General features: G+C 54.4%; 1 protein-coding gene across 1 annotated transcript in view, besides 1 other annotated feature; it reads right to left on the bottom strand.

Moving 5' to 3' along the window:
• RAB11FIP4 (RAB11 family interacting protein 4) overlaps positions 1 to 7,143 on the bottom strand; it is a 146,537-nt gene extending 139,394 nt beyond the window's left edge. Inside the window, exon 1 of the mRNA NM_032932.6 lies at positions 6,807 to 7,143. Within this exon, the coding sequence (NP_116321.2) occupies positions 6,807 to 6,965 (159 nt within the window). The 5' untranslated portion in view covers positions 6,966 to 7,143. The remainder of the gene's footprint in view (positions 1 to 6,806) is intronic.
• Positions 7,339 to 7,928: an enhancer, noted in NCBI's record as "H3K4me1 hESC enhancer chr17:29717908-29718497 (GRCh37/hg19 assembly coordinates)". NCBI's record gives its function as "activates a minimal SCP1, AML or CMV promoter by ChIP-STARR-seq in naive H9 embryonic stem cells {active_cell/tissue: H9 hESC(naive)}" and the evidence as "EXISTENCE:reporter gene assay evidence [ECO:0000049][PMID:30033119]".

The following is a 13,070-nucleotide window of genomic DNA, read 5'->3' as shown; positions in this document are numbered from 1 at the left end:
CAGGAATCTCCTGGCCCAGCCTCTCCTCCCTCTGTCCGGTCCTTTCTTCTTCTTTTCCTCTTTGGTTTTCTTCCCGGTGCTAGGGAAGGCTCCTAAGCCTCAGAGCCAGGGCCAGGTCTGAAAGCCACGCTGCCTGTCCAGCCTCGTGACCCACCTGTACAAGGGGGAACGTCACACTTCATGGGCTGGACGCCCATAAGGGAAGCTTGTGGATGGTTCAAGGTTCTCTACCCACTGATATCCCTCGGAGGGCACGTCTTGCTGATGGGAAGGGCTGATTCTTCCCCCTACTCAGGTCTATATGTCCCCCATTCAGGTCTCACCAATGGAGGCAGGGATCACACCCCCCACCCCCCATGGCACGGTCTCTCAACGCTGGCATTTCCTCCTTCTCTAGAACTCCAGTGTCTTGGGAATGACGCTGGAACTCAGCAAGGTTTTGCCAAATGGATTCAGGCTTCGTCAAGAGTGTCTGACAGGCCAGCTGTGGTGGCTCACGCCTGTAATCCCAGCACCTTGGGAGGCTCAGGCAGTGGATCACCAGAGGTCAGGAGTTAAAAGACCAGCCTGGCCAACATGGCAAAACCCTGTCTCTACTAAAAATACAAAAAATTAGCTGGGCGTGGTGGCACATGGCTGTAATCCCAGCTACTCGGGAGGCTGAGGTGAGAGAATCGCTTGAACCCCGGAGTTGGAGGTTGCAACGAGCCACTGCACTCCAGCCTGGGTGACAGAGTGAGACTCCGTCTCAAAAAAAAAAAGTGTCTGACAAAAAATTAGCTGAGCATGGTGGCATATACTTGCAGTGCCAGCTACTTGGGAGGCTGGGGCAGGAGGACGGTTTGAGCCCAAGAGCTCGAGGCTGCAGTGAGCCATGATGCACCCCTGAACTCCAGCCTGAGCTACAAAGCGAGAGCCTGTTTCAATTAAAAAAAAAAAAAAAGGCAGGGGCGTGTCTGATAAGATGGATGAGTCCCAGCAGACTTTCTGCATCTGGCCTCCTCCCAGCACAGCCAAACTGGTGGGCACAAGAGGCCAGAGGGTGCCCCAGCTAGGACTCGTCCTCCCGCCTCAATGCAGAGTGTGGTGCCACATGCCCATCCCCAGGCCCCAAGGGATCCCCAGCCCTGGCCCCACTTCCATGATGACCTCCAACCTCAGGAGCACAGTTTCCCAGAAGCATAGGAAAGAGAACATCTCTCTGGGCTCACTCTTGTCCTGCTTCCACCTCAGGTCCCAGGCACTCCCACCTTTTCTGCCAGGCTCAGGGCACCTGGGCCTTCCTTCTGATGTGCCAGCCTTGTCACTCTGCATGGTAGCCTCATTAGGGTGGGGCACATAGAGGTTGCCTGGTCTCAAAAGAGCACCTTTAACTATCACCTTTTGGGAGTAGCTCGTTGGGACTTTGCCGGCCTTCCAGGCCCCTGTCAATTCTGCACCCCCCGCCACTGCCCAAGTTAGGATGCTCTTCCTCTCTTACCATGTGCCACAGTCCCGAGGAGGCCTCCTGCCTCCAATCCTGCTCCCCATCCCCTGTTCTCTCATACACATCCACTCTTGGCTGCCTAGGTCTCACTGCCTACAGGGAACCACTGATCTGGCCCTACCTTCCCCTTCACCCCTTCCTCCAGCCACAGCTGTGGGGATACAGTTGTTTCTTCCCTGTTATCCAATTGCTACTCCTGAGCAGAGGAGCTTTAGTTCCAGGTGCTCCTGTTCCTGGAAGCCACGTATCTCAAAAGACATCGATCCCAGCCCCAGGGCTGGCTCCTGGCCGGTCTCAGCCCATCCTAGCACCCCAACCCCTTTGCCATTTCAAAGACCCAGGCTTAACCCAAGTGGCACTAGCAATTCCCCCATAGCAGGCATTAGCTCAGAGGGGACCTGAGGACTCAGGGAGCCCAGTGGGGACCATCATTTCATTTCCAAGCAGGCAGGACAGGCCCACTGTCCAGAGGAGATGGTGCTGTGTTAATGCATGGGAGAGGCCTACTTGGTGATTCTTATTTCTATTTTTCTAGCAAGAAGGACGGTCTTCAAACTGGAAAGGGAAGAGGACCATGTCACAGGGAAGTGTGGTCCAGGACATCTCTGGCTGCTTTCAATGTCTACCATTCTGACTGCCGAGGGGACGTAAGAGGGGCAGGAACACCACAGCTGGTTAAGGAGGGTGAGTTGAGCACACAGAGGCCGGTGCCAGATCTTGACCTCAATTCCTAGCAAATCTCCAGCCTAGAACAGCCTCTCAAAAATGCTTGCAAGTGTTTAGAAAATAATAATAATGACAAGGAGAGCACCAGCAATTCTGATATTATGCCTACTCTGTGCAGATACTGGACTAAGCCCTTTGTATGTATTAACTCACTCAAACCCCACAATAACCCTATAGAATGGGGACTCTGATCAGCCCCATTTGATGGATGAGTAAATAGAGGCCTAAAGAGGTTAGGGAGACAATGCAATATATCAGAAGGCAACACAGGGTCAGGATGTTGAGCCATCATGTTACATACTTATCAGAGTCCTGCTCCCTGGCATTGTAGACTTTCAGGATCAGGGCAGTGGTGTGCCCCCATCCCTCAAAAATCTGCATTTCTTTCTTTTCTTTTCTTTTCTTTTCTTTTTTTTTTTTTTGTGGCAGGGTCTCACTCTGTCACCCAGGCTAGAGTGCAGCGATGTAATCTCAGCTCACTGCAACCTCCGCCTCCCAGGTTGAAGCGATTCTCCTGCCTCAGTCTCCCAACTAGCTGGGATTACAGGTGCACGCCACTACACCGGGCTAATTTTTGTATTTTTTGTAGAGATGGGGGGTCTCACCATGTTACCCAGGCTGGTGTGGAACTCCTGAGCTCCAGTGATCCTCCCACCTCAGCCTCCCAAAGTGTTAGGATTACCGGCATGAGCCACCACGCCCGGCCCATTGTCTCCTCTTTTCTGCTGTGATACCTAGGTCAACAAAGTAGGGAACTATCAGGGACTAACCTAATCCATAAATAACATTATTAAGTAACATTCATACTTGATCCTGACTTCCTTAGTTTTTACCTAATGTCCTCTTCTTGATTCTAGGGTCCCATCCAGGACACCACACTGCATTTAGTCAGCTGCCTCCTTAGTCTCCACTTGGCTCTGACAGTGTCTCAAAATTTCCTTGTTTTGGATGACCTTGACAATTTTGAGAGGTCCTAATCAGGCATTTTGTAGAATGCCTCTCGGATGGGATTTGTCTGGCATTTTTCTCAGGACTAGACTGGGATTACTGGTTTGGGAGGAAGACCACAGAGGAAAAGTTCTATTCTCACCACATCACACCAAGGGTGTATGCCATCATCACAATCTGTCACTATCGATGTTGTCCTTGATCACCTTCTGAGACAGTGTTTGTTGGGTTTCTCCACTATACAGTTGCTGTTCCCCCCACTTTCCAAACTCTACCCTTTATAAGGAAGCCACTACGCACATCTCATGCTTACACGGTGGGACGTTATGCTTCACTTCCTCAATGGGGCAATTATCAACATACGTTATTCAGATTTCTTCTATACGAGAGATTTTCCTATTTATTTATTATCATCTGTTCAATAATTTATACATATATATATTTCATTATGGCCTCATGGATATTTATTTCATACTTTATGACCTAGTATATTTTGGTTTTTGCAAAGCATTTGATCCTGGTATCCCTGGTATTCTGGGGGTAGGTGGTAAACTGTGGACAATCAGCTCTAAGTTCACTGAACTACATATCTAATGAATGATCATTATCCATCCCAGAGCACAAGTGGCTGGGAAATCAATGTCACTGCCTGATTTTAAAACAAATAAAATAGAAACAGTCAGAGTACACTGCATTTCGTAAGGGAGCCCCCCCCCCCCGCCCCCCGCCACCCCACCGCTGGAAAACAACACTCCGATTTTTTAATGCATCAGGGGATAAGATGGGTAGTGAGTAGAGATGCAAAATATATTTCCACGGGTCTCGGTCAATACAGCATAAGCCGAAAACCACCCCTACAAGTGCCTCGGGGCCCTGTCCATGGTCCTGCCCTGCAATGTTTAACCAGCCTTGTGGATTCAGACACACCAAGCACTGCTTCTCCAGCCCGCAGGCAGCAGCACAGCTGAGAGTGATAGAGGTAGGATGCTAGATTCTCTTTCTTGACAGATACAATGTGATGAAATGAACAAGACGAAATTAAATGGGAATAAGGGCCAAGAAACAGGCTTAGATTCCAGAAATTACTGACAGACAACAGGCCCGAATGCTTCCACAAGCCAGGATTGTTAAAAGAAAAAAGAAAAGAAAAGAAAAGAAAAAGGAATTGTGTACAGTAAGAGAGACTAAAAGGTGACAACAACCACATACACTGCACAGTCCTGGAGAGGAAACAGCAAAAATGGACATTTTGGGGTCAAATAGGGAAATCTGAAAAAGGTCTGCATATTAAACCAGATGAAAATTTATTGAAGCAGAAAAGTCATGATCATTTACCGGCAAAAAAAATCAGGTTACAAAACAGTATGCACAGTATGATCTCATTTTCTGGAGAAAATTGACATATAAGCATGGAAACAGCTCTGGAAAGGTCTGACAGAAGTGTCATTGAGGCGCTGCCTGAGAGATAGGACACAATACTTTTTATTTTGCTTGTCCCTATTTCCAGTTTTCTGCAATGCATATCCACCGCTTCTGTAGTAATCTCAGAGTATGCTTTTAAAAGAAAAAAATCACTGACCCTCCCCGAAGGGTGGAGAATCCCTGGCTTGGCAGAGGTTTCTAAAACAGATCCCTGGAGGTTTCGGTGGCCAGAAACTTAATATAAGCAGAGTGCAGTGCCCCATTCAGAGGCAGCCCCACCCTAAGCTGTGTGCATATGTGTGAGGTCTTGGGGCTAATATAGTCCTGGTGGGGGCGGCGGGGGGCGGTCTGCTTGTCCAGCCCTTTCATGTTATTGCTAGGAAAACTGAATCACAGAATTAGTCGATGGCAGCTCCAAGGCCAGAAGCCAGAGGTCTGGCTACTGGGTCACATGGAAATGGCCTAGGGCTTCAGGAACTGGGGTATTTGGCCTGGAGAAGGGAAAATGGGAGTATGGAGCTGGGAAGGAGAGAAGGGGCAGGAGTGCTATTTTCAAATATTTAAAGGCTCCCCCAAAGAAGAGAGACCTATGTGAGTCCCCGTGCAGAACGGTGATGACTAAGTGACAAGCAGGTCTGTCTCTAGAGTGTATGAGGGAGAAGGTTCTAATGGCAGGAACTGTCCAGCTGGGGGAGAAGTGGGTGAGGCTTGCTGGGCACGTGGCTGAGGCCGGTGGCCCCTGCCAGAGGTTGTTGGGAGGCCCTTCCCACTACTGAGGCTCTGAGTTCGGGGACTCCAGGTTTCAGCCAGAGCTGGTAGCTTCTTTACCCGACCTGCAGTCTGTGTTCTGAGAGGAAGGAGCGCGACTATCCCCATGCCAGGAGTCTGCTCAGCCTGCCCCAGATGGGAGCCACTGGAAAAACGGAAGGGCTTGGCTGGCCTTTGGGGAAGAAGGGTCATGGTGGCAGCAGGCAGTGTCCCTCAGCAAAGCCCCGCAGAGGGCAGTCTGGGCTCTCACAGGCACTGCAGTGGTCTTTCCTGTGGTGGGTACCTGAGTTCTCAAGCCCTGAAGCTGCCTCACTCTCTTCTGCCCACAGCTCTCAGCGACTCACAAGTCCCGGCCCATGCCCAGGTGCGGGTGGAGAGATGATTCTCAATCGCCTCCCACTCTCTGGTGACGCAGAGGCACGGGCCCAACCTGGCCATCACCCAGCTTCTCCCATGTTCTGAAATGCCTGGTCCGACCTGTTCTGGGAACACAATGCCAGCCAGTGCCCATTTGAGGCCCATGGCCCCAGGCCCCCCATGCAGGGCCTGAGGCCTTAGATGGCCTTGGAAACCCACTTCTCAGGGCTTTTGGCTCCAGGGGAAACCCCTGACCATTTCAGCCAGGTGGGTGTCTTGTCCTCCCCTTGAGACACAGTCCCCAGTCCCCATGCCGGTGGCACCAGAGGACACTGGTGTAGTGTGCGTTTAGTGATATGACTCCGTCCACCCTACTGGCGGCACCGACCCTCCGCTTCCAGCCCTGTTAACAATCTACGTAAGTCCTGCTTTCCCCAAATAGATGCGGCCCCGCCACATGAAAGCCCTCTGCTCAGCCACCACTCCCCGAGCCTGGCTTTGCCTGGCCTGCTGCAACCAACACAGCCAGCTGCCAGCCTGGCTGCCCAGCAGAGCCTGAATGAGAGGTCACCCGACACTGGCCCGGGAGTACACGGTGGCCCCAGCAGACACCTCCTTCCGTGTCTGGGCAGGGTGTGTGCAGCCGAGGAGCCAAGGCTGCAGAGCACCCCTACCGGTCCCTTTCACCCCCTGGCCCGGCCCAGCAGGACGTACACAGACCCTTGCATCTTGGTCTCCGCAGCGCCGGGTGGGGTGGGGAGCCTAGGGCCGGATTCTGGCAGCTCTCTCCCCCAGACAAGGGTGGATGTGCAGACCGCTCAGAAGGACCTGCATGGCCGAGGAAGGAAGGTGGGCGCAGAAGCCACCCTAGGCGTGACGCGTGACGCTCGGGGCACGGGCGCCGGGGGGCGGAAAGCGAGGGCCCGGCTGGGCCAGGGATACCCGGGGGGGGCCGAGGTCCTGGGCTCCGGCGGAGGGAGGGGATTGGGAGGGAGGCCACCGCCTCGGGCCACGCGGGTGACCCGGCGGGGGAGCTGGGGGAGGGGCGGCGGGGCTGGGCTGGGGTCCCCGGGCCGGGACTGGGGTCGGGCCAGCTTACCTCCTCGCCCTGGCCGAAGCGCAGTCCGAGCGCCGCGACGCGCTCCACGCGCAGGAAGCCGTCGGGGTCGCGGCCGCACACCTCGAACACCTCGCGCAGGCGGCGCACGGAGCGCAGCAGAGCCGCGGGGGCGCCCGACCAGCCCGCGCCGCCCGCCATCCGGGCCGGCCCGCAGCTCAGCCCGGACCCCTCGCCCGCCGCGCCCGCCGCCTGCCCGCCGCCGCCATCGCCGCGCGCCCTCCGGGGCCGCCCGTCTGGGTCTGCGCCGCGCAGCCTCCGCCCGGTGGCGGCCGCGGCCGATCCGTGTCAGCAGCGGCGCCGCAGCCCCAGCCGCTCCGGAGGGGAAGGGAGGGGAGGGGAGGGAAGGAGAAGAGTGGGGAGGGGAAGGAGGAGGGGCAATAGGGGGCGGGGAGGGGAGGGGCGGGGGCCGCGGCGAAAATGGGAGGGAGAGGGGGAGGCGGCGGGGGCGGCGGCGGCGGGGACGCTGCAGACAAAAGGAGCCCGCGTCCTCCCGAGTGGGGCGGCCCACGCGGGGCCGGCAGGCGCAGCGAGCTGCCAACGGCCGCGTCCTCCGCGACCTCAGTTTCCCTCCGCGTCCCCAGTTTCCCTCCGCGTCCCCGAGCCCACCCCTTCCTCTGGACACCCGGAGCCACCCAAAGGCCCTGCCCTGCCGGAGGATTCCGCGGGGTCGCGCCCCTTTCCGCTATCCGTGCCCGCTGCCGCGCCTGGCGTCTCCCGAGCGCTCAGGATGTCCTGGGGGCCTCCTGCATTGGCGCGTTCCGTGACTGCATTCATCCCGGAGGAAGCTGAGGCCCAGAGAGGTCGGACTCACTCTAGGCCACACAGCTGGCAAGAGGCAGGGCCGGGATTCGCTGCCATCTCTGGAGGGCTCTGGACTCCGTTCTTCACCTCCGCCCTGCGGTCTCCCGGCGCTCTCCTGCAAGACAGCACTTGTGGGGCCATCGGGCGGGGGAGGGCACAGAGAGGAGGAGCAGGCAACTGAACCCCAGCCTGGACCCGGGACCCTGCGACGGGGAGATGAGGAGAAAACCAGGATGAGGCCGGAGGGAGGAAAAGCGAGGCGCTTCCAGAGGCCTGCCTGTTCAGGGCCCAAGGCTGCTCCACGCCTGGAAGAGGCTTCCTCCCTTTCGCCGGGTTCCCACCATCACACCTCCCTGGCAGCCCGCATGCCCCAAGCTCAGAGAATCCAGGACAGAATCTCTGTCCCGCTGGCCGCAGGCTCTAGGTCAGGACCCTGGCCTCCTCCCATTAGTGCTCAGCGGAGCCTCCACCCCAGCTTGTGCTAACTTCCCAGCCCAGCCTCGGGGCCCTGCAGGACCCGGCCGGGCTCTTCTCTCCACCTTCTTGCTCGGCACATCAGGTCTTTGTGGCAACGACTGGCCCCAACCCAAAAAAAGGCCTTGGCTGAGTCTACTCCCACCTATGCTGTCATGCTCAGCACAGAGGTTTCCTCCTCCGGGAAGGCTTCTCTGATGGCACGCCATCTTATCTTCTATTCTGAGTTCTAAGCCCTTCTTCCAGGTGCCCAGTTAATTCTTAATTCTCTAGTGGGATGCCCATTTCCCCTACCATGCTGGGAAGCCCTCCAGGGCAAGATATGTCTTAATTACCTTCAAGTCCCTGATCTCCAGGCAAGAGTGGGCCCAGAGGAAGCCCCACCCAGAGGGGATGGGCCCGCCCATTATGTGAGGAGCCGGGAGCAACGTAGTGGCGCAGACAGGGAGTACGGGGTGAACTGCATGGCCTCCCCTAGCTGGGCCTCGGTTTGTACCTCTGTGGTCTTCCTGCTCAACCCTGAATATATCCTGCGCAGGGACTGCCATTTGCCTTCTGACAGTGGGCGGGGACCTCTTCTTTCCAGCCCCGGCTCCTGGGATGAACCTGGCTTTTAGCTACTCTCCTTTGACCCTTCAGTTCGTCTGAGAGCCACGAAAGGCAACACCTCTTGGGAAGAGAGACCTGTGGTTCTGAGGATTGAGGAGTCCGAAATGTGAGAAAGCGGGAAAGGGGAGGCCGTGGGAGTGGAGTAGGGGTATTCGGCTGAGTAGGAGCGTCTCTGCTAGCTGGATGCCGCTCAGCAGGATACTAGCATATTTTAGCCGGTTTCCTCGCCTGTACCGTGAGGATAATAGTACCTTCCTTTTAGGGCAACTGAAGATGAGAGCGAATCTAAGCAATGCTGCTTTCCCCCGACCTACCCTGCAAAATGGAGGTGGAAGTGGAGAATAAGGACAAGCAGCTGGCTGGGAGAGACTGGCTGCTGGAGATCCAGCCAGCCCCCTGGCAAGGAGGTAGGGAGTGGAAGCTGGGGGCTGCTGCCTGCCCCTGGGACCCCGATATTAGTTCGTCCAAGGTCAGCTCGTGCCATTTTCTCTCACCCAAGGGGCTCAGCACAGAAAGGAGATGGCCAGGAGCTGGGGCTGCCCCCTGGTGGGGGCTGCAGAAATGGCTCTCCGCGCTCAGCCTGGCATTGAATGCCCCCTAACTGGGGACAGGGGAGCTGGAAGACTCACCCACTTCAGCTGGCAGAGGCGGGGACCTCAGACCTGAGCATGAACAAATCCCAAGTGAACCAAGACAGAATCCCGCAACCAGATTAGCCAGTTCTTGTCAAAGACAGGATCATCACAAATTCAAAAATCCCCCAGGAGAGCTTTCCCTGACCGGACTCTCCTTGCCCAGGTCTCTGCAGTTTTGTCTCTGGTGGGCGATGGTTTGAAGGACACCTGCCTCCCCCACCAGTGGCACTGGGTCTCTTGCTCACCGCTGTGCTGCTGGGGCCAGCAAAGCACGTCACAGGCATTCTTTCTGGGGTTGTCACGTTTTTGTTGAGCACCTACGTTGTGTTGGGTATGCTAGGGAGACAGTGAAAGGGGTGCAGCCACTTGCTGAACTTGATGGGGGCAGTCATGGCCCAGTGTGATCTACACTGAGGTGCCAGGCTCTAGGAGCCCAAGAGGGCCTGCAGAAATGGCTGAGTGCCTACCCAAAGGTCCCTCAGAGATGGTGCAATTTATGGAGTCCTTGGGTCCTTGGAAGTGGACCTGGGACCACTAGGGCTCCCAAAACCCTGATCCAAGAGCTCAGAGTGCAGCCCCGAGCAGAAGCAGCAAGAGAATACCCATGTCAGGGCCGGCTGCAGGGTGAAGGGGGTTGCTCCAGGAAAGCAAGAGGTCCCCATGGATAGGGCGGGAAGGCGCGGAGCCTCCTTTCTGTCCTCCGCTTCCTCCAGGTGACCTCTGATTCTCCAGGGGATTTCCAACAGCTGCAGCAGCCTGGGCAGGCTGGAAATATACTGGGAAATATACATGGAAGGGACAGTTGGGACTCCGGCCCCTTCTCTAGGAAGAAACAAGTTTGATCAGGTCCCTCCCCTGCTGAAAACTCAATGGCCACCATTGCCTGAGCTGGCATTGTGCAGTGTCTTCATACTCTCCTGCCTCTCCTTAACCCTAGTCTGGGAGCATCCAGGCTCCCTCCTGCCTCCCTTTGCTTAGTGGGTGGGAGGTCTCAATCCTACCCCCACCCAATTCCACTTTCTCTAATTCCTGTCCTTGTGTTGTGGAAGTGGCACTTCCTACCGGAAGCCTTTCATGACCACCCCACTCCTTGCCCACCTTGACCACCTCTCCCATGTGCTCCTGCAGAGAAGTGAAAAGTACAGACTGCAGCCCACTTACAGGTATGGATAAGGCTGTGGTGAGAGTCAGTAAGTTAATACATACATTGTAAGTGTCAGAACAGTGCTGCTGGTTAGTGACAGCTATTGTCCTTGTGACTATCCTTACCATCTTACTCCTATTGTCTATCACCGGATTATCTGGGAAACTGTATGAAAGGTCACAGGAGTGACCATGAGGTCCCTGGGAGCAGGGACTGTGTCTATTTCTCTCCTGATTTCTGTAGCTCCTAAATAATGCCCATACACACATAGTTAGGGTCTGTGTAGGAATAAATTAAGGAATGGACAAATATGGCATGGTAGGCTGAAAAATGCCCCCTTAAATGATATCTATATTCCAATCCCTGTACATCAGTGGTCCCCAACCTTTTTTGGCACCAGGGACTGGTTTCATACAAGTCGGGGGAAGAGGGTCTTGGGATGAAACTGTTCCAACTTAGATCATCAGGCTTCAGATTCTCATAAGGGGTGCGCAACCTAGATCCCCCTCCTGCGCCATTCACAATAGGGTTCCCGCTTCTATGAGAATCTAATGCCACTGATCTGACGGAAGGTGGAGCTCAGGCGGTAATGCCCACTCACCCGGCGCTCACCTCCTGCTGTGGTTCCTAACAGGCCATGAACTGGTAATGGTCTGCAGTCTGGGCGTTGGGACCCCTGCTGTAAATGTTACCTCATTAGAAAAAGGGTCTTTGCAGATGTAATTAAGGATCTGGAGGCTGGGCGTGGTGGCTCACGCCTGTAATCCTAGCACTTTGGGAGGCTGAGGCAGGCAGATTGCTTCAGTCCAGTAATTCGAGACCAGCCTAGGCAATGTGATGAAATCCTGTCTCTACTAAAAAATACAAAAATTAGTTGGGCATCGTGGCATGTATCTGTAGTCTCAACTACTCAGGAGGCTGAGGCAGGAGGATGGCTTGAGCCAAGGAGGTGGAGGTTGCCGTGAGCCCAGATCATGCCACTACAGTCCAGCCTGGGTGACAAGAGTGAGACCCTGCCTCCAAAAAAAAAAAAAACAAAAAAAAAACTAACAACAAAAAAAACAACAGGATCTGGAGACAGGGGGGTTATTCTGGGTTAGCTAGGTGGACCCTTAATGCAATCACACATATCTATAGGATGGATCAGAGGCAGATTTGACACATAAAGAGAGGGTAATGTGACCACAGAGGCAGAGATTGGAGTGGTGCAGCCATAAGCCAAGGAGCAACAGCAGCCATCAGAAGAGGCAAGGAGCAGAATCCCTCCCAGAGCCTCTGAAGGGCCCACAGCCCTGCTGATGCCTGGATTTTGGCCTTCTGGCCTCCAGAACTGTTACAGAATAAATTTCTGGTGTTTTAAGCCACCAAGTTTGTGGGAGCTAGCACAGCAGCCATGAGAAATGAATACAGATGGGATGAATATCATGTGGAAGTTATCAAAGATTATGAAGAGCCAGGCTTTGGAATTCAAAACAGCTGAGCTGGGCACCAACATCTGTTGCTCTTTTAGCCCCATGACTCTGGTCAGGTTAATTTCTCTAAGCTTCAGTTTTTCTACCTTGTAGAGGTCCTTCAGGCTTTTAATTTAAAAAAGATTGCGTCATGCCTCGCCCAGCGCTTGGCACAGTACCTGGCACCTGGGTGGTGATTATGTGTGTCAGTATGGAGCAGTTTAGAACCAGTCTAAAAGGGGGAACATTTCTGTATTTTCATCTGTGAGCCTTGACTTCATTGTCCATGTTGTCTGGAAATGGGGCAGGATTCAGTTACTTCCTGTTCACAACCTGCTGGGTTTTTTTAAACCCATGAATAATTATCACTTTGAAGGGGAAGAAGGTGCCGTGAACTTATTTTCCTTCTTCACTGATCCCAGAATATGTTTCTGTGAGCAAAAGCAGAGAGGCCCCTGCTTGGAGACACAGCCAGCCCTGCCTGTGGAGTGCTGAGGACCCTGGCTGGACTAGGGCACACTTGGGGTGCAGGGGGGCACCTTGAGACCTCATCTTTCCTCTGCTGCATGAGCTGTTGATGTGAGGGGTATCCAGAATCTTCTCTGACCCTTAGAAGCAGGACCGGCTGATTGCTAAAATTCCTTCCGGGATTCTAAGAAGAAATGCCAAAACCTAACTTATTCTACCCAACTGGGCTCCAGATCCTTCTGTCAGCTGCAGAAATGGCCCCTGAAACTAACTTCCAGGCAGGGCACCAATATTTCCCTCCTGGCTTAGGAAGCAGTGTCCTTGGTGAGTCAAATCCACTCACATTCCCTGGCTTTGAGCCTTCTCTACTGCCCACTTCTGCCTAAAAGAAAAACTCAATCCTCAGGGTGAGCGGCAAGCAGGAAGGCCCTTTACAGCCTGATGCTCTCCATTCTGTAAAACATGGCTGGGCAGTAACATCATCTACTATACTCAGTTTACATTTATTGAGCACTTACTATATCCCAGGCATTGTGTGGCATAGACTCCAAGACAGTGACTCAACATGGAATTGATCAGTGAAATGCCTGGCTTGCCTTGCATATGCTGTTCCCTCTGCCTGGATTGTCCTCCCTCCACCACCCCCACTGCCATCCTTCAA

Source organism: Homo sapiens, chromosome 17 (assembly GCF_000001405.40).
Source record: "Homo sapiens chromosome 17, GRCh38.p14 Primary Assembly".
Lineage (NCBI taxonomy): Eukaryota > Metazoa > Chordata > Mammalia > Primates > Hominidae > Homo > Homo sapiens.
The sequence above is the reverse complement of the archived record's forward strand: the minus strand, read 5'-3'. Positions and strand labels throughout refer to the sequence as shown.